Source organism: Homo sapiens, chromosome 12 (assembly GCF_000001405.40).
Source record: "Homo sapiens chromosome 12, GRCh38.p14 Primary Assembly".
Classification (NCBI taxonomy): domain Eukaryota; kingdom Metazoa; phylum Chordata; class Mammalia; order Primates; family Hominidae; genus Homo; species Homo sapiens.
Window position 1 is genome coordinate 52,125,532 of NC_000012.12, and position 19,631 is coordinate 52,145,162.

The 19,631-nt window shown below is 51.1% G+C and overlaps 2 annotated features.

The window, feature by feature from the left end:
• Positions 4,970 to 5,507: an enhancer, noted in NCBI's record as "H3K27ac-H3K4me1 hESC enhancer chr12:52524285-52524822 (GRCh37/hg19 assembly coordinates)". NCBI's record gives its function as "activates a minimal SCP1, AML or CMV promoter by ChIP-STARR-seq in naive H9 embryonic stem cells {active_cell/tissue: H9 hESC(naive)}" and the evidence as "EXISTENCE:reporter gene assay evidence [ECO:0000049][PMID:30033119]".
• Positions 18,472 to 19,289: an enhancer, noted in NCBI's record as "H3K4me1 hESC enhancer chr12:52537787-52538604 (GRCh37/hg19 assembly coordinates)". NCBI's record gives its function as "activates a minimal SCP1, AML or CMV promoter by ChIP-STARR-seq in naive H9 embryonic stem cells {active_cell/tissue: H9 hESC(naive)}" and the evidence as "EXISTENCE:reporter gene assay evidence [ECO:0000049][PMID:30033119]".

Sequence of the window (19,631 nt, forward strand, 5' to 3'; positions counted from 1 at the left end):
CTTTCCAGCCCCCAACACCCCGTCCCCACTGTTTCTCCCTTTATAATGCAAAGGAGCTTCCCTCTGATTCCTGGTCACAGCCTGCCCTGCAGACCTTAGGTGCTGGCCTGGCCTCCAGACAGGCTTATCCAGGCATTTCCCCACAAATAGGGCCTCCACCGCTAACTGCGCAGGCAGTCTCTGCTTGGCTGAGCAGGTGAACAACAGGAGCCAGCTCTCCCAGGGGAGCAAACACCATGCAGCTGGCAGGCCTGGATTTGGGACTGGCTCCACCAGCCATTGCTATTGAGCCCTCAGGCAGATTTGGCCATTCCTCCGAGCTTCAGTTTCCCTATCTGTAAAACAGGGATGGTGTTAAGTCCCTTGTGGGGGGCTGTTCTCCCTCTGGGAGTGTTGGTAGTGGAGACTGTGCCAGGAAGACATGCAGGTGGACACAGTGCTCAGGTGCCAGCCAGGTGGCCCTGGGGGAAGGCAGTGGCATTTCATTGGTAGCTCCTGGGACATGAGCTCATCTATAGACTTGTCTGTTGCATTAGAGGCTCAAAACAACAGTGGTTTAAACAACATGGAAGCTTGGACTTCTCTCACATAATAGTCTTGGCAGGAGGCTTTCAGGGCTGGAACAGCAGCTGCACAGGGCCAGTGCCTCAGGCTCTTTCCGTCTGGTTGCTCTGAAGGCTGATGGACAAGTTTGATCTGAGATGGCCAGCCACCACCTCCTCTGTGTTCTAGCCAGAGAGAGGGGACGAGGCAGGGAGAGGGTGTCCCCAGCTTATCACTTCTACTCCCCTCTTGTTGCTCAGGACTCAGCTGTGTGACTCTCCCAGTCTCCAGGGGTGCCAGGAAGCACCACAGGCAGCCATGTGCCCAACTACAATTAGGGCTCCATGACTTCTACAGAAGCTAGGGGACAAAAGAAGTGTCTGCCACTTCTTTTGATTGAGGGACCTGCCTGGATCATCCACCCACCCACCCTTTCCAGTCACCTCAGCTGTTGAGGGTGGGGCAGGGGCTGAATTACAGAGATAGAAAGATTGTGTCCCTGTTCTCAAGGGACAACCAGTTCCTGGACTCAAGGGACAACCAGTCTCTGGACTTAAGGGACAGCCAGTTCCTCGGCAAACAAAAGTGGGTGGAGGGTGTTCGGAGCAGGGCTTTGAAGGGCTGAACTGTCCAGCCAGCTGCCGGGTACTCCGAGTTCTGGCCCTGACCAGACCCTCTGCCCTGGGAGAGTGTGTCCTTGGACCACGCTGGCCTCTCTTCTGGAGGACTCTGCATCCCTGAGGTTGTTGGCGTGGTGTCCTCTGTGTTGGTCAACAGTCACATGAAGTATGCTTTCCTTTTGCTGCGAAAGTGATTTTTCAGGCCATAACCAATCCATCGCATCCCTCAGCGTTCCTTACAGGAAGGCCCAAGTGAGCCAATTTTATGAGAATGTATTGTAAGGGGAAAACTTTGTCCCTGCAGAGCAAACAGTCTGCTTCCTGCAGATAGTAATGGATCAGATTTCTTCTTCCCCTTGGCTGCCTCGAGACGTAATCATGGCATCTGTTGCCGCTCGGGTCTGCCTTTTACAGTCTCTGTTTTCTGTGGCCTAGCATTTTACATCTTTGAAGGATGTTGCCTCCTACATTCTCAGTCTATCATTACGGATAAAACAGAAAATGAGGGAAGAAGCAGACCTGGTGGCCACGAGGGGTGGTACCATTGCTGTGCATGAGTATCGGCATTGTCTGTAGTCTCCCAGCAGCCGGGGCAGAAAGGGAGGGTTCACAAGACTTTCTCCGCAAGAAGGAAGCAGAGCAATGTTGTGAGGGAAGCGAGGCAGCAAGCCCTGAGCTTGTGGTAGAGGCCCCTGCAGCAGTTTCGGGTGCAGAGAGACCAGGAATCTGGGCACTGATTGCAGTGCCACCAATCAGAAGCTGTGTGACCCTGGGGGAGTCACTTAACCTCTCTGTGCATCAGCATAGTAATAGTAACTGCTATATGGGTGTTGGAAGAGTTGGATGTTTAAATTAATGCACGCAAAGGGTGAGAATAGAGGTTGGCACTTAGTAAGTGCTCAATAATTGTGAGCTTGCATTATGCTTGTTATGGATGGAGGAAGGATTGGGGGAGGGGTGAGTATTATGGAGACTTCTAGCTCCATAAGTGTTGATACAGTGTTGATAAGGATTTGGGAACCCAACAAAACCTAGAAGGCAGAGCGTGGGGGTAATAAGCTGTGTTTTGTCTCACTGAAGGTGGAGATTGGGATTCACGGGAATGGAGGAATTCAGGGTGGGGGCTCAGCTGCTTGGCACGGGCATGTCTAAGGTCTTCCTCACTGTGAGCAGAGGGGCATCCCTGGGGACCTTCTCGATCCCTTTTGAGGCAGGTCTGAATTGAGTATATGCTGACTCTTTGGTTTTGAGAGCCTGGGGCAACCTTGATTGAGGGTGGGCCCAGGCCCATAAGAAAGTAGCCTGGCCCTTCCACATGAGGACACACTGGCAACGGGACAGTTTCTTCAGAAATGGTCCCAGAGGATTTTAGGGAGGGCCTGGCAAAGGCCAGATCTCCTCTTAACCACCTGTGACTGTTGGACTATTATTATTTGGATGTGAGATGCAAGCAGGAGCTCTAAAGATCAGAGACGCTGGGACCTCTGAGATCACGGGGGAAGGTGGGAGAGAGAGAGTGGGGAGATGATCAAGAGAAGCTGAGAGGAAGGAACACCAGGAAACATCTGAAGTGATGAATGTTTATTTTGATTGTGGTGACGGTATCACAGTGTATGCATATGTCCAAACTCGTCAAATTGCAGACGTTAAACATGTGCAGGTTTTTTTTTTTTGTGTATCAATTATTTCTCAACAAAGCTATAAAAATGAACTGTTATACATCAGTAAGACAAAGATGGACAGCCCACTAGGAAAGTCTGAGAGATTTGAACAGGCACATTACAAAGGATAATACCCAAATAACCAATAAGGATGAGAAGTTGTTCACCCTCACCAGTTACCAACAAAATACAAAATAAAATCACAATGAGGCCGGGTGTGGTGGCTCATGCCTGTAATCCCAGCACTTTGGGAGGCTGAGGTGGGTGAATCACTTGAGGGCAGGGTTGGCCAACATGGTGAGACCCAGTATCTACTACAAATACAAAAATTAGCCAGGGGTGGTAGTGGGCGCCTGTAATCCCAGCTACTCAGGAGGCTGAGGCAGGAGAATCACTTGAACCTGGGAGGCAGAGGTTGCAGTGAGCTGAGATTGCGCCACTGCATTCCAGCTTGGGTGACAGAGCGACACTCTGTCTCAAAACAAAAACAAAAACAACAAACAAACAAACAAACAAACAAACCTCCCACAATGAGATAGCTAGCTCTACATTTCCATCAGCATGGCTAAAACAAAAAAGACTGAATTGATAAGGATTTGGAGAAACAGAATTTCTCACACATTGCTGGGGGTTGCACAAATTGGTAGAGATACTTTGGAAACTATTTTGACATTAAATATCAAAGATGAAGATTCTCATATCCTATATCCTAGGCTTATGCCCAACAGCAATGCATGCATATGAGCACCAAGAGATATGGTCAAGGATGTTCATAGTAACTTTATTTGTAATATCTAAAATGGAAACAACCCAAGTGCCCATCAACAGTAAAATGTATACATAAGGCCAGGCGCAGTGGCTCATGCCCATAATCCCAGCACTTTGGGAGGCTGAAGTGGGCGGATCACGAAGTCAGGAGATCGAGACCATCCTGGTTAACATGGTGAAACCCCGTCTCTACTAAAAATACAAAAAATTAGCTGGGCATGGTGGCGGTTGCCTGTAGTTCCAGCTACTCCGGAGGCTGAGGCAGGAGAATGGCGTAAGCCCAGGAGGTGGAGCTTGCAGTGAGCCAAGATCACACCACTGCACTCCAGCCTGGGCGACAGAGTGAGACTCCGTCTCAAAAAAAAACAAAAACAAAAACAAAAAACTGTGGCTGGGCGTGGTGGCTCAGGCCTGTAATCCCAGCGCTTTGGGAGGCTGAAGTGGGTGGATCACCTCAGGTCAGGAGTTCGAGACCAGCCTGACCAACATGGAGAAACACCGTCTCTACTGAAAATACAAAATTAGCCGGGCACAGTGGCACATGCCTGTAATCCTAGCTACTCGGGAGTCTCAGGCAGGAGAATTGCTTGAACCTGGGAGGCAGATGTTGCGGTGAGCCGAGATTGTGCCATTGCACTCCAGCCTGGGCAACAAGAGCAAAACTCCACCTCAAAAAAAAAAAAAAATGTATACATAAATTATGGTGTATGTAGACAATGGAATTCTACACAGCAATGAGAATTTATGAATTACCTGCAATGCATGCAAAGAGTGAGAATAGAGCCTGGTACTTAGTAAGTGCTCAATAAATATAGCTTGCATTATGCTTGTTATGGATGGGGAGGATGAGCAAGTATTATGAAGACCTCTAGCTCCATAAGCATTGATACGGTGTTGATAAGGATTTGGAGACATTTAACAAGATGAATAACAGAAACCAGACATGACAGAAAAAATATTGTATGATTCTAGTTAGATTAAGTACAAAATCAGGCAGAACTAAACTATAACATTAGAAATTTCTAGTGTAGTAGGCCAGGCACAGTGGCTCAAGCCTGTAATCCCAGCACTTTGGGAGGCTGAGGTGGGTGGATCACTTGAGGCCAGGAGTTTGAGACCAGCCTGACCAACATGGTGAAACCCCATCTCTACTAAAAATACAAAAATTAGCCAGGCATGGTGGCGCACTCCTGTAATCCCAGCTACTCAGGAGGCCGAGGCACAAGAATCTCTTGAACCCAGGGGATGGAGGTTGCTGTGAGCTGAGATCCTGCCACTGCACTCCAGCCTGGATGACAGAGCAAGAACCTGTCTCAAAAAAAAAAAAAAAAAAAAAAAAAAAAAAGAGAAATTTCTAGTGTGGAGATAGATGGGTAGGCATGAGAGAGGTTAGTGGGGTAGTAACAGTTCTCTTTCTTCACCTGTGTGGGGATTAAACAGGTATTTGCTTTGTTATGATTTATTGAGCACATTTAGTTTTTGTGAATGCATGTATATGTACATATATATTTTCTGTACGTGTATTATACTTAATAAAAAAGTTAAAAGTAAACAAATCATACACACACACACGCACACACACAAAAGAGAGAGGCTGAGAGGAGTTGTTCACTTCTTTCGGGGGAGGAGGGTCTCTGCCATCTGGCATCCCACTAGGGGTCCTGGAAAGGAAGGAGCTGAATCTAAGTGCTGGGTTTAGCCCACAGCCCTCGGCGTGCTGCTCACACACCTGCCCAGTTCCGACACAATGCCAATCACCTCCCTGGCTCCTGCTGTGAGTCTCAGGTGGCCCTGCACAAATGCCTCTCTCCTCCAGCCTCTCTGCAAACAAGCCCTGGAAGGCCACTTTCTCCCAGACAGCTCAGGAGCCCAGGCAGCCTGAGGCCTCCTCCCTGCCAGCTTCGCCTTTGCTGTCTGCCTCCAGCTGTGACTTCTGTGCTTCTTGGCCAGAACAGCCATTCAGCTGTTGGTTGTTTCATTGACTCTTTCATTTCTTCTTCTTCTTTTTTTTTTTGAGACGGAGTCTTGCTCTGTCGCCCAGGCTGGAGTGCAGTGGCATGATCTTGGCTCACTGCAAGCTCCACCTCCCAGGTTCACACCATTCTCCTGCCTCAGCCTCCCGAGTAGCTGGGACTACAGGCACCTGCCACCATGCCCGGCTAATTTTTTGTATTTTTAGTAGAGGTGGGGTTTCATCATGTTAGCCAGGATGGTCTCGATCTCCTGACCTCGTGATCCGCCCACCTCGGCCTCCCAAAGTGCTGGTGAACAGGCATGAGCCACTGCACCTGGCCACATTTCTTCTCTTAACAAAACTTTTATGAGCACAAATTATCTGCCAGACACTTTGCGAGGCACTGAGGGTACAATGATGAACAGTTCCTGCCCACACAGGGCCTACAGTCTGGTAGGGTCCTACAGACATTAGTCGGCCAATCCCTCGAATGATGAAAAACTGCAACAAAGGCTACAAGGGAGAGGCAGAGACTTAGCCAGCAGCACAGGGAACTGGAAATGTGTCTGTGCGGAAGTGATGTGTGGCTTTAGTGGATCTGAGGTGGGAGGAGTTAACTGGAGAGTCAGCAGGGGATGGAAGAGCATTCTAGGCAGAGGGAACAGCATGTGCTGAGACTGCATGGTGGTGACAGGTGAGGGTGGTGAGCACCACTGACAGAAAAAAAAAAAAGCCAGAGAGGCTGGTGCAGTGAGGCTGGCTGGGGAGGAGCTTACTGATTTGGGAGCACGCTCCTGAGAGACACGGTTTCACCCCTTGGCAAGGACTCTGGGAGATGGGGTCAACTTACTACTAGGATGGAACCTAGAAGCCCAGAAGAGACGGATTGCACTAAGTGAAGTTGCAAGGCCAGCCTTGCTGTGGCAGAGTAGAGGAGGGGACTAAAAGGCTCTGGGAGTGGGGCATGCTGGAGGGGATACAGTATGTATGGCCAGGAGATTATCCTGATACGTTCTTAGGGCAGGACCAGAGCACACACCATTTACACACCAAGGCAAAAGAAATGGGCTGGAGAGAGGGGCACAGACCCCCTAAACATGTGGGGAGGCCCTCCTTCTCATGCCAGGCTGGTGGTAGGAGGGGCTTTTAGAGACCAGGCTCAGTGATTGCACAGGGAGGGGGGGCGGTGAGGTGGCAGAGGATAGAGCCCTGTCCATAGACCCTGTCCATCATCTCTTGTGATGATTGTAACGAGCACAGGGTTGCAGCCAAGGAAATCTAACCTACAGAGCTAGGAGATGGTTAATAGAATACAGTGTTCCTAGGGGCAAGTTAGATGAGGAGCCAATCCAGAAACTACCCAACTCATGCCATCAGGAGAAACCAAGGATGGATGACCATAAGACTGGGCACTTATGACCCTGTGTTTGGTTTCTTGACCTGGAAGCACAGGAAGAGAATGAAGAGGAGGTTTGGTCTCTATGAGGATGGAACTTGCAACACCACAACAGCCTTAACAGGATTGATATCCCCAGTCCTTTCCCAAAGGGACCTATGGCCATTTGCTTGGAGAAACTGTAGATGGGGGAAATGGGAGTAGCCAAACATTTGAGGCTTTTGGACGTGGAGCCTGAGTTGAGCTCGACACTCAGGAACAAGAAGCATCACCGTTAGAGTGATGTGTGGTGGTTTTGAAGCGTCTCCCTTCAAGAGATGAGCTTAATTACCCTTCCCTGAGGGTGGGTTGGACCTAGTGACTCACTTCTCAAGAATAGATTATGGCAGAAGGGAAGGTCTGTCACCTCCAACGCTAGATGAGGGGTTGGCACACTTTTGCTGAAAAGGGCCAGAGAGTAAGTACTCTTGGCTTTGTAGGCGATATGGATTCTGTTGCAATTGATTACTCAACTGTGCCATTGTAGTTGTGAAAGCAGCTGTAAACAATATGTAAAGGAATGGGTGTGACCAGATTTGGCCCAAGTTGGGTCAGATTTGGCCAGCAGGCTGGAGTTTGCCAACTCCTGGACTGGTTCATAAAAGGCATCCTGACTTCTTCTCTGTCCTCTCTTGTATCAGTCTTTTTGGAGGCAGCCAGCTGCCATATCATGAGGTGAAGTGAATAGCCCAAGGAGAGGTTCATGTGGGCAGGTGCAGGACCTGAGGCCTCTTGCTGGCAGCCACGTACATGAGCCGTCTTGGAAATGGATCCTCTGTCAAGCCTCACCAGCAGCTTAACTGCAACCTCATAAAAGACCCAGAGCTAGAACCAGCTGCTAAACCATGCCTAAATTTCTGACCCACATAAATTATGAGAGGATAAATGTTTTTGGTTCTAGGCTGCTAAGTTTTGGAGTTATTTGTTACACAGCAATAGATGACATATCGGGGAGCAAGTAGGGGCTGGGTAATAAGGTGTCCTAGCCAAGGTCTGGCTTACAATGGCTTAAAGTTAATCACATACTCCCAGTGGCCATTTCCTTGATCCTGAAATGTATAATTGGGATTAAGAGGGTGTGCAACCCCCACCTTAGGTCCTTGGCCTGTAGGCTAGGGCTATCAGCGTGGGAAAGGCCAAGTGGAAACCTCTGAAACTGCCCCTCCCCACCACCCTCAGCCAAGAGTGAAATCAAAACAATATTTCATCCTGGGGGAATGGCCATTAGTGCCATCCTTAATCTTGAAAAAATGCAGGAGTGGTGGTCCCCATCATATCTCCATTTAATTCCCCCACGTGGTCTTAGCAGAAACCAGGCAGAATCTGGAGAGTGGAAGTAGACTACCACATACTTGACCAAGTAGAAGTCCGAATTGCAACTGCCATGCTGGATGTGGTGTCTTTGCTAGAGCAGATCAACACAGCCTCAGACACTTAATATACAAACATGGACTTGGCAGATGCATTCTTTTCTATTCCAATCAGAGAAGAGGATCATAACACAGTTCACATTCATATGAACTGGGCAGTAATATAATTTGCAGCTTTGCTCCAGGGTAATGTTAAATCTCCTGCACGCTGTCATATGATAGTTTTGGTGTTTTTTTTTTTTTTTGAGACGGAGTCTCGCTCTGTGGCCCAGGCGGGAGCGCAGTGGCGCAATCTCGGCTCACTGCAAGCTCAGCCTCCCGGGTTCACGCCATTCTCCTGCCTCAGCCTCCCGAGTAGCTGGGACTACAGGCGCCCGCCATCACGCCCGGCTAATTTTTTTGTATTTTTAGTAGAGACGGGGTTTCACCGTGTTAGCCAGGATGGTCTCGATCTCCTGACCTCGTGATCCGCCCGCCTCGGCCTCCCAAAGTGCTGGAATTACAAGCGTGAGCCACCGCGCCCGGCCTGGTGTTTTTTTTTTTTTTTGACAGGGTCTTCTGTGCTCAGGCTGGAGTGCAGTGGCATGAACATGGCTCACTGTAGTCTCCACCTCCTGGGCTCAAGTGATCTTCTTGCCTTAGCCTCCCCAGTAGCTGTGACTACAGGCATGCACCATCACACCCGCTAATTTTAAAAAATTTTTATAGAGACGGGGTCTTGCCATATTTCCCTGGCTGGTCTTGAACTCCTGGGTTCAAGCAATCCATCTGCCTCAGCATCCCAAAGTGTTGGGATTACAGGTGTGAGCCACCACACCCGGTCTGTCATATGAGTTTGAAGAGATCCAGATTCTCTGGACATCTGCAGATGTTTTATTGATCTGTCACATGGATGATATTGTGCTAATAGGGTCTGATGAGCAAGAAGTGGCTAGTACTCTGGAGGCAAGACACCGTGTGCTTCTGATGGTGGGAGATAAACTCTACAAAGATTGGCCGGGTGCAGTGGCTCACGCCTGTAATCCCCAAACATTTTGGGAGGCTGAGGCGGGCAGATCACTTGAGGTCTGGAGTTCAAGACCAGCCTGGCCAACAGGTCGAAACCCCGTCTCTACTAAAAATACAAAATTTAGCCAGGCGTGGTGGCGGACACCTGTAATCCCAGCTACTCAGGAGGCTGGTTCACTTGAACCAGGTAGGTGGAGGTTGCAGTGAGATGAGATTGCGCCATTGCACTCCAGCCTGGGTGACAGCATGAGATTCGGTCTCAACACAAACAAACAAACAAAAAAACGGTACAAAGATTCAGAGGACTATGAAATTGGTAAAACTTTCAGGGTCCAGTGATCAAGGTACATGGCAGGGCATCCCTCCCAAAGTAAATGAAGGGGAGAAACGAGTCTTATTTGACATGTTAACTTTGAAATGTCCATGAGGCATTCCAGTGGAGATGTGAGTAGGCAGGTGGGGATAAGAGTCTGGAGCTCAGGGGAGACCTTTCACCCCATATACCTCTCATCTGTGTTATCTGTATGTGCATGAAAATACCTATCAATTACTTATCACCATCAATTTATTGCCATTGTCTTTGATGCCTTCTAGTTTTTAGCATCTACCTCTCCTTCTGTACTTTCTTTTTTTGAGACAGAGTCTCGCTTTATTGCTCAGGCTGGAGCGCAGTGGCGCGATCTCAGTTCACTGCAACCTCCACCTCCCGGGTTCAAGCAGTTCTCTGCTTCAGCCTCCCGAGTAGCTGGGATTACAGGTGCATGGCACCACACCCGGCTAATTTTTGTATTTTTAGTAGAGATGGAGTTTCACTATGTTGGCCAGGCTGGTCTCGAACGGCTGACCTCAGGTGATCCACCCTGCCTCGGCCCCCCAAAGTGCTGGGATTACAGGCCACCATGCCCAACCCTCCTTCTGTAGTTTCTATTTCTTTTTTCTTTTTCTTTTTTTTTTTTGAGACAGAGTCTCGCTCTGCTGCCCAGGCTGGAGTGCAGTGGCATGATCTCAGCTCACTGCAAGCTCCGCCTCCCGGGTTCACACCATACTCCTGCCTCAGCCTCCCGAGTTGCTGGGACTACAGGCGTCTGCCACCACGGCTGGCTAATTTTTTGTATTTTTAGTAGAGATGGGGTTTCACCATGTTGGACGGGATGGTCTTGATCTCTTGACCTCGTGATCCACTCACCTCGGCCTCCCAAAGAGCTGGGATTACAGGCATGAGCCACCGTGCCCAGCCATTTTTTTGTATTTTTTAAAGTAGAGATGGGATTTCACCGTGTTAGCCAGGATGGTCTCAATCTCCTGACCTCGTGATCCACCCACCTCGGCCTCCCAAAGTGCTGGGATTACAGGCATGAGCCACTGCGCCCGGCCTGTTCTTTCTATTTCTTATTTATTTCTACTTATCTCCTATGATCCATTGTACTTTGCTGAGTCAAGCTGGATGGTGTTCACAGTGCCACTCCTGAGACCCCAGGGCTCGAGTGAAGGTGGAAGAGAAAAGTCTCATCTCTACTGCATAGGCGAAAACTGGGAAGTGTGTCTTTAGGGACCCCAAGGTCCCCATTCTCTGGCTCCTTGTTGCCTTTTATTGCCTAATGGCAAATATTCTTCCTCTCTAACAGAACCTGGGCACAGGGGAGGCTGGCAGAACCCTGGTCTCTGAGTTGATTTCTACTTCTGACCTTGTGGGAAAAGGTTCTCCCCTTTTTTGGGCCTAAGTCTGTCAAGTGTCAGACTGGGGCAGCTGGATCTGACGTCCTCTGTGACCCCTTCCAGCTCTGAAATTTTTAAAGACCTGCAACCATGGAATTCTTCTCCCAGAGATGTTTTCATTTTAAGGACAGTGTTAGTCTACTGTGGCTGCTGTAACAAATTCCCACCAACTTGGTGGCTTAAAACAACAGAAATGGAGTCTCTCACAGCTTTGGAGTCCAGAAGTCCCAAATTAAGATGTGTGTATGGCTGTGCTCCTTCTGAGGGCTCTCGGGGAGAACTTTCTGGCCTCCTCCAGCTTCTCATGGCTGCAGGCGTTCCTTAGCTTGTGGCTGCATCATTCTAAACTCTGCCTCCATCTTTCTATCACCTTTTCCTTCTCTATGTGTCCATGTCTTCTCCTGTCTCTTAATGACACTTGTCACTGGAATTAGGTCCTACCCAGACAACTTAGGATGATCTCGCCTAGAGATCCTTAACTTGATTACTACTGCAAAGACATTTCTATCAATTAAGATCAAATTCACAGGTTCTAGGATTGGGTGCATATATATATATATTTTATTTTATTATTATTTTTTTGAGATGGGGTCTCGCTCTGTCTCTCAGGCTGGAGTGCAGTGGTGTGATCTTGGCTCACTGCAACTTCTGCCTCCCAGGCTCAAACGATTCTCCTGCCTCAGCCTCCCGAATAACTGGGATTACTGGTGTCTGACACCACGCCTGGCTAATACTTGTATTTTTAGTAGAGACAGCGTTTCATCATGTTGGCCAGGCTGGTCTCAACCTCCTGACCTCAGGTGATCTGCCCGCCTCAGCCTCCCAAAGTGCTGGGACTACAGGTGTGCGCCGCCACACCCAGCCCTTTTTGGAGCCACCATTCAATCCATTATAAGGACCAAAGTTTTGGATCTAAGCAAGGCATCTCTCATGGGTGGGGAGAATTTTTTTGAGTGGGAGGAGAGGGCATGTGGGCTCCTAAAGGTTCCACCTTGTAGAGTGCAGCTTTCCCATCTAGCTACCTCTGGTCCTTTCAGATCTAAACTCCTAAGGGCGAGGGCTAAGCTTCTCTCCCTGCTTCTCCCCTCAGGGCCCAGTGGATGCTGTGCACACAAAGGTACTCAACGCATGCTGAACTGTCTGCCTCTCTCCGAGGGTGCTCAGTGGGCTGGAAGTAGTGTGGGCTGCGGGACTGAGAAAGATGTTGAGAGAGGACTGCGGGTTGGTGGTGAATGGAGCCAGGCAGGAAAGGGATGGGCACCCTTGGCTTTGGGCTGGTTAACTCCCATCTGCTCTGGCTGGGGGAGGGCCTGCCAAGTAAAACCCCTTGGCCTGGAGAGACTCACTGGCAGGACAGACCCATGGTGGGACTCCTTTCCCCCGCTGCTCACCTCCCCACACAGACCCACGGGTCTGCTCACTGGGCAGCTTCAGGGGTTCCCTGCCTCCAGTTGCTCCCTGCTCTGACCACACAGTACACAGCTGCAACACTGACTGGAGCACTCTCCTGCTCAAACACCACCCATGGCTCCCTGCTCTCGCTGGGTCAAGGCTAAACTCCTTCAAGGGCTGCTGTCATGGGGAACTCAGCTACTTCTCCAGCCTGAGAATACAGGATTCCTTTTCTAAAATCCTTCCCCTTCTGGCTGTTCCCCAAACCTCTCCCTGGATCCTCTCCCTCTGGGATTTTCCTGACACTGTTCCCTCCTTCTAGAGCGAGTCTCTTCCTTCCAGCAAATCAAACTCTAGCCATCTTTAAAGGCCTGGCTTTATGCCTTTCCCTCTGAGCAGCCTTTCTGGATTTCCTAAGGTGGAAGCGATCATTTCCCAAGATCTTCCCGAGGAGGAGGTGATCCCCCATGTCTCCCCTATGATGCCTCCCACTTTCTATCTTGTCTGTTGCTGTCTATGGGCAGGACTCATTTCCAACACAGAGGTCATGCTCTGTTGGAAGGAGACACGTCCACCTCACTCCTAGATTCCCAGCAGCTCACACAGGGCTTAGCATGTAGTAGGTGTTTACTAATTATTTTTCAAATGAATAAACTACCCCATGCAGCTCTGTACACTGAACTCCAGCAGCTCCACGGGCAGAGTTCTAAGGCTGGAGTTGCATGTAACTTCCTGATCTGCTCTCTGGGCTGATTTGATTTGCCGGTGGGTGGTGCAGAGCCACAAACTGAGCTTTCCCTGTGGGCTTCTCCTCCAGGGCTGTTTGTGGTTCCTTGTGGGTGCTCTGTTCAAATGCATGATACAGAGTTGGTCCGAAATGGAAAGTTTGTCTTAAAGAATTAATACACTTTAAACAATATATTTCATATCTATAAATATATGCAAAGTTTAATATAATGAATATCTATGTATCCACCACCCAGCTTAAGGAAGAGTGTTGCCAGCATAGTGTGTGGATACCCTCTCCTTTTCCGGAGTCCTGATAAGGTCACTCTTTCAAGTTTGCCTGACACCAGAAACAGGTACAACTTAGCTGCTCAGGGACTATATGAGTCCTTCTGCTAAACTACTGGGTTTCAGAACTCTTTTTTGTTTTTTTTGTGGAGCGGAGCCCAGGTTGGAGTGCAGTGGGGCCCGGAGTGCAGTGGGGCGATCTTGGCTTACTGTAACCTCCGTCTCCTGGATTCAAGCGATTCTCCTGCCTCAGACTCCCGAGTAGTTGGGATTACCAGCATGCACCACCATGCCCGGTGTATTTGTATTTGTAGTAGAGACGGGGGGTCTCACTATGTTGTCCAGGCTGGTCTTGAACTCCTGACCTCAAGTGATCCGCCTGCCTCAGCCTCCCAGAGTGTTGGGACTACAGGCCTGAGCCACTGCGCCTGGCCGGGTTTCAGAACTCTTAAAGTCACCTACATTCATACTAAAAAGGAGATGGGACCCTTGAACAAACAACAGAGTTTTAGTGGCACCGCTCTGCAGCGGGCTGTCTTCTGACGAGTAACTTTAGGAAGCAGATCAAGTGTGCAGTTTTGAATGGCACCCCATAGTGGGGAGGTGAATGGCGCTGGGGATTCTGGGTCTCTGCCCCAGGGCCCGGTGCCACTGCACTGAAACCTCTGCAGTGTACGCTTCTGTCCCTAGATGGCACTGCTGTACTGTGCCCCTTCCCACCTGGTCCAGGTGTTCTGGGAAAAAGAGGCATTTTGTATTTTGGAGACAATGGAAGAGATAAATGCTTTAAATTGAAAGGTGGAACTCTGGCCCAAACTTCAAACCGGCAGAGCTAGGTGCTAATTTCAGCTGGCTGCTCCTCTGAGCATGGCTCCAGAGTTCACATTCTGATCCACTGACAGGATCTGCATGACTGGGTTGGTTGCATATGTGAAGTAAACAGAATAACAGAACCCGACCTATCTAGGGCTTTGGGAATAATGAAATTATTTGCTTTATATAAAGTGCTTAGAACAGTGCATATTACATGGTCATTGCTCAATAAAGTTCAATATTCTTTTCTTTATTCTTTTTTTTTTCTTGAGATGGAGTCTCTCTCTGTAGCCCAGGCTGGAGTGCAGTGGTGTGATCTCAGCCCACTGCAACCTCTGCCTTTTGGGTTGAAGTGATTCTCCCACCTCAGCCTCCTGACTAGCTGGGATTACAGACGTGTACCACCATGCCCGGCTAATTTTTGTATTTTTAGTAGAGACGGGGTTTCACCATGTTGGCCAGGCTGGTCTCAAACTCCTGACCTCAAGTGATCCACCCTCCTAGGCCTCCCAAAGTGTTGGGATTACAGGCGTGAGCCACTGCAACTGGCCTCTTTTCTTTTTTCATTTGCATTGTAGTGATCTATCTGAGAGAGTACCCTCTCTCCCCGAGGGCAGAGACCATAGCTGGCTGCTGATACCTGTGTCCCATGGGCCCAGAACAGAGGAAGTGCTTCAGAAGCTAGTTCTCTCTCCACCCTGCCCCTATCACATGGAGGAGGGGGTCGCTGCATTCCATGTGTCTTCCATGGAGACCAGGCAGGATCTCCTGCCTGGAGAGAGCTGATGGGTGGGCAGATTTGCAATCTGAGCTGTTCAAGAATGGAAGGGGCTTCCTGGTGAGGAAGTAACTTACTGGGCACTGGCAGTGCACAAGCAGAGTGCACTTGCCACACAGGATGCTGCAGAGGAGACCCTGGTTTCAGGCTGGACTGAGCAGTGCTGTCCTATCTGGAGGTCCCCTCTGTGAGTGAAATGCTAATTCACTATTGCAGGAGCTGTCATGCTTCCTGAGGTTGTGAGAGAGATGGGAAGGGGTGGGAAGATCTGAGGGAATCAGGAGGAGAAAGTGCCCTGATTCCAGAGAGCAGGAGAAGGTAAGAGGCAGCTCTAGGCCTTTATCCTCCCTGTCAATATGTAGGAATGGTCGGGCTTCAATATTGGGTGGGGTGTAGGTGTCTGCGGGTGGGCCCTTGACTTTGGCAGGGCCTGTGGTCAGCTTCTGGGTGAAAGCTGCCATCTGTGGGCCCCTCGTCTCCCCATCATTCACCCTGCTCACTCTGTCTTCTTCTGATGGTCTCTGGATTCGTTTGAGTGTCTCCTCTGCCCTCGTGGTTGCCCAGACCAGATGCTTGGCCATCCCCTCCAATGCCTCCACTCCTCCTCCCCACCCGAGTCCAACAGGCCTACTGGGAGACAGAAAAGTGATTTCAAGAAAGTGTTAAGGTGATCTACTGGCCTCTGCCCTTGCCCCTGCAGCAGGGGTCCTGCTGAATCCTTAATCAGGTCATGTCACTTTGCTATGTGCCCCACTATGCTATGATGTGCGTCTTCTGGTCTCAGCAAAGGAAAGCCAGGTCTTAATGTGAGCCTCTCAGGCTCTCAGCCCCCATCTCCCACAATGCTCTCTCCATCCATCACCCCTCCCACCCTCAACCACATGGCTGGCTCTCCCGCCTCCTTCAGGTCTTCAGAGACATTACCTTCTAGTGAAGCCTTCCCTGACCACACTACTTAAATGTATGATCCCTCCTCCTGCCCCTCCATTCCCCTCTCCTGTGTTATTTCTCTCCATAGCCGCTGCCGCCTAACATACTGTCTTTAAGACTGGCTGCATAACTTGTAGTCTCAATGCAAAATGAAAATGTGGGGACTTTCATTTAAAAATTATTAAGAACTCCCAGGCAGCAGAGCGGGACCCTGGGTGGCTGCCTGGGCTGCATGCCCACATAGCGGCCCTCACAGTGTTCTTTTATTTTATGGTCCTTCTTCCTCACCCAGGAGGTAAGCCCTACTAGAGGAGGGATCTGGGCTTTGTCCACAGTAGTATTTTAGGATCTGCAGCATCTAGAATGAAGATGCTTTCTCACTTTTCTTAAAGTGAGAAAGGAAAGAGTCACATTAGAGGTCAGCACAGAGAAGGAGCACCTCACTCAGCCAGAGGGTGTGGGGAAAGGCTTCAATGAGGACGCACGAGGCAGCCGGGTCTGGAAAGGTGGGCGCAGGGCTGGGGGAAGCCGGTTGGGGCCTAGACAGCCTGTGGGCATGAGTGCAAGCATAGGGGTAAGAGAGTGCAGACCCCCGGGCTCTGCGGCTTCTCCATGGAGCAGTGCTGGGGATTCAGGCGTTACCCTGAAGGGTTGGGGTTGCATGTGCCTTGGTTCCAATCTACCTGTGTGACCTCAGTAGATGACTTAACCTCTCTGACCTTCAGTCTCCTCCTCAGTTGTCCTTATTATAGGGATAATATAGGGAATGGCATAGTCTAGAGCATACAGTAAAGTGTTGGGTACAGTAATGATAATATCTGGTGTATTTGGTGCATTTGGTGTCTGGACTGGTGGAAGAGGCTGGAGGTCTGTGTAGCAGGTGTTTGGGGAGTAAGGGGGCTGGGAGACAGTGGATAGGGTAGGCTCAGTGTCAGCCCTGCTTGCTTGAAGGGCTGCCAAGAGGGGACCCTTAGAGGTTAAGGAGATTGGGACCAGGGAATGAGGGAGACTTGTTTTTGAAGGCCTCTAAGATTCTGGCCTAAACAGTGTGGCCTCAGGGCCTGGGGCATGGTGTTTAGAGAGGGAAGAGTTGCTCCCCATCCCTCCTCCTCAGCATCCGGTCACAGACAACTGAGGCTTTGAGGGCTGAGGACTGAGCTGGCCATGGGTGGAGGATGGGTGCTCTCCAGAGCAGAGTTCTCATGCCACGGAGGCAGCGGTGTCTTCGCAGGGAAGCAGAGCACAGCCAGTGCAGGCTTGCTCCTGCTTATAGGGCAGTATTCCTGGGGCCCCGAAATTAACTGGAGGACTTTCTGAGGGACTACCTGAGGCCCTGCAGCACGCAGCTGAGGGCCAGGAGCCTCTCTGACTTGGGCATTGATGTCAAAGTGACCCCATGTTCACTCAGGCTGGTGACCTCCTTAGCAAAGTGCCTAGCACATAGTAAGTGCTCAATTAATGGGAGTTGATAGAACCTGTGTCCTCAGTGTGTGTCCTCAGGAGGGCTCTGCAGGGCACTGAGGCCCGGTGGAGAGAGGGTGGGCGGGTAATGACAAGCACAAGGGCAGGAAGGGACCTTAGCAGAGGCTTATCTGCACTAAGCCCATTTTGAGAAGAGAAGACTTGCACGAGCATGGGGCAGAGGCCAGACAGGGGGACAGTGGGCCATAAGGAATCTCCCCGCTTCCCTGCCATGTCCCTTGACTAGCCAGAGCTTCAGACGTGAGTGTCCCCCTCCTGCTGGCCTCCACCAGGAAGCTGCTCAGGTCCCTCAGACCCAACATGTCTGAGATGAGCTCTTCAGCCGCCTTCCCAGCCCCTTGGTCTCCCCAGCCAGCCAGTCCCAGAAACCTGAGAGTCGCATGAGATCCTTTCTTCATCTCCAGCCCCTGGCCCCTCCATCACTGAGCCCGAGGCAACATCTACACTTTGGCCACGCTGCCTGCCTCTGGCCACTGTGTTTTTGCTAGCGTGGTGCCAGGCCTGACCTCCTCTCTTCTCTTCCCCTGGGTCATGCCCTCTAATTTGGGCCTGGGTGCTCAGTAAGTTCTAGAAGCAGTGGGTGGCCAGGGGGTCTGGGGCACGGAGGACTCTTTTTTTCTGGTCTGGGTCCTGGGTTGGGTCCTTGTCCCCTATGTGTCCCACACCTGTCAGCTGGGGGCGCTCCTGCCCCACAGAACCCCAGCATCCTGGCTCCAAGTGGGGGTGGGGAGCCTCTGGAGCCTCTCCCGGCAGCTGGGCCTGCTTGGCCTGCCCGGCAGGTCTGGGTGTGGGTGGAGAAGGCCAGGAGAGGGGTTGGGGAGGAGCACGTCTGTGTGTGGGTACAGGCCTCGGGGTGTGGGGGTACAGGAGCTGGGTGGGTGTGTACATGCAGCTTAGCTGTGTGTGTGTGTGTGTGTGTGTGTGTGTGTGTGTGTGTGTGTGTGGTGTGGGCAGAGTTCATGGTGTGGGTTCTGTGGAGCCTGGGGACCTCACGGTAGGATTCCTTGGACATAGGTGAAAGGCTGGGCCTGGCCTCGTTTGCCCTCCAGCTCCTTCCCCAGGGCTCCCCACCTCATCACCCACTGGAGGCAGATCTTCAGCAGGCTCCTTTGGAGGGCGAGCTTTGAGGTGTAATCCCCACTCTTCACCTTGGTTCATCCCTAAAACGGTTGTAGCCTCAGTGTCCTTGTAAGTACAATGGGGAGAAGGACACCAATGTTGCAGGACTGTTGAAGGGACAGTGGGAAGCACCTAGGGCCTGGCCTCCACACAGTAGCAGGAGGGATGGAGGTGTCACAGCTGTGCCAGGCAGCAAGAGCTGCGCCCAGAGAGGCTGTGCCCTCAGGAAGCTGGAGGGCTGGAGGGTGGCAGAGGCCCACCACAAAGCTGTGGGGTAGGGGCGGGGAAAGGGCCATCAGACCACAGAGCACAGTGGTCCGGGCTCAGAGAGGGGACGCTCCCCTTGTAGGAAAGACAAGATTTCACCAGGGAGTGCACTCCAGGCCATGGGCGGCCTAGCAAAACCAGGGAGGTGGAAGATGTGGGACCTCCTGACAGCAATAGCGGTCTGGTGTGGTGAGGATCTGTGGGGGTCAGGCTGCTGGGTGGGATGGCTGAGTGTTGGGGCCTTGACCGTTAGTGAAGAGCCCGTAGTGGAGGGCGGGGCCCAGGCAGGGAGACCAGCTGGGGTGGGGCTAGGGGCCCGAGTGGTCAGCAGGCAAGAGGGGCCGGGGCCTGGGCCTGGATGGCAGCTGGAGGGGAGAGGTTCACTGGGAGGAGAATCTCCTTTTCCTCTTGGACTGCATCGTAGGGAATCGAGGTTAGATGACTAGAAGAACTTCCTGGCGCAGATCTGGGGAAGCCCTGGCCCAGAGGCCTGGCCTTTACCCATCCCTGGATCCTCTGCCTCTCCCCAGCTCCCACTGTCCTCAGACACCCCTTGCCCCTGTCTGGGATTCTGGGGGTGAGCCCCGGCCTGGCCGAGGCCTGCTGCAGGGTGAGAGTTATGTTCCAGCTCCATTGAGTGATAAGTGCCACACTGCGACCTCTCTGGGTCTTCCCTGCCCACTACGGTGGGGGCGTGGGGCCCCTGCTCCATGGGCTGGGCTTCTGACAGGACAGTGGCAGGCCAAGGAAAGGACCTACCA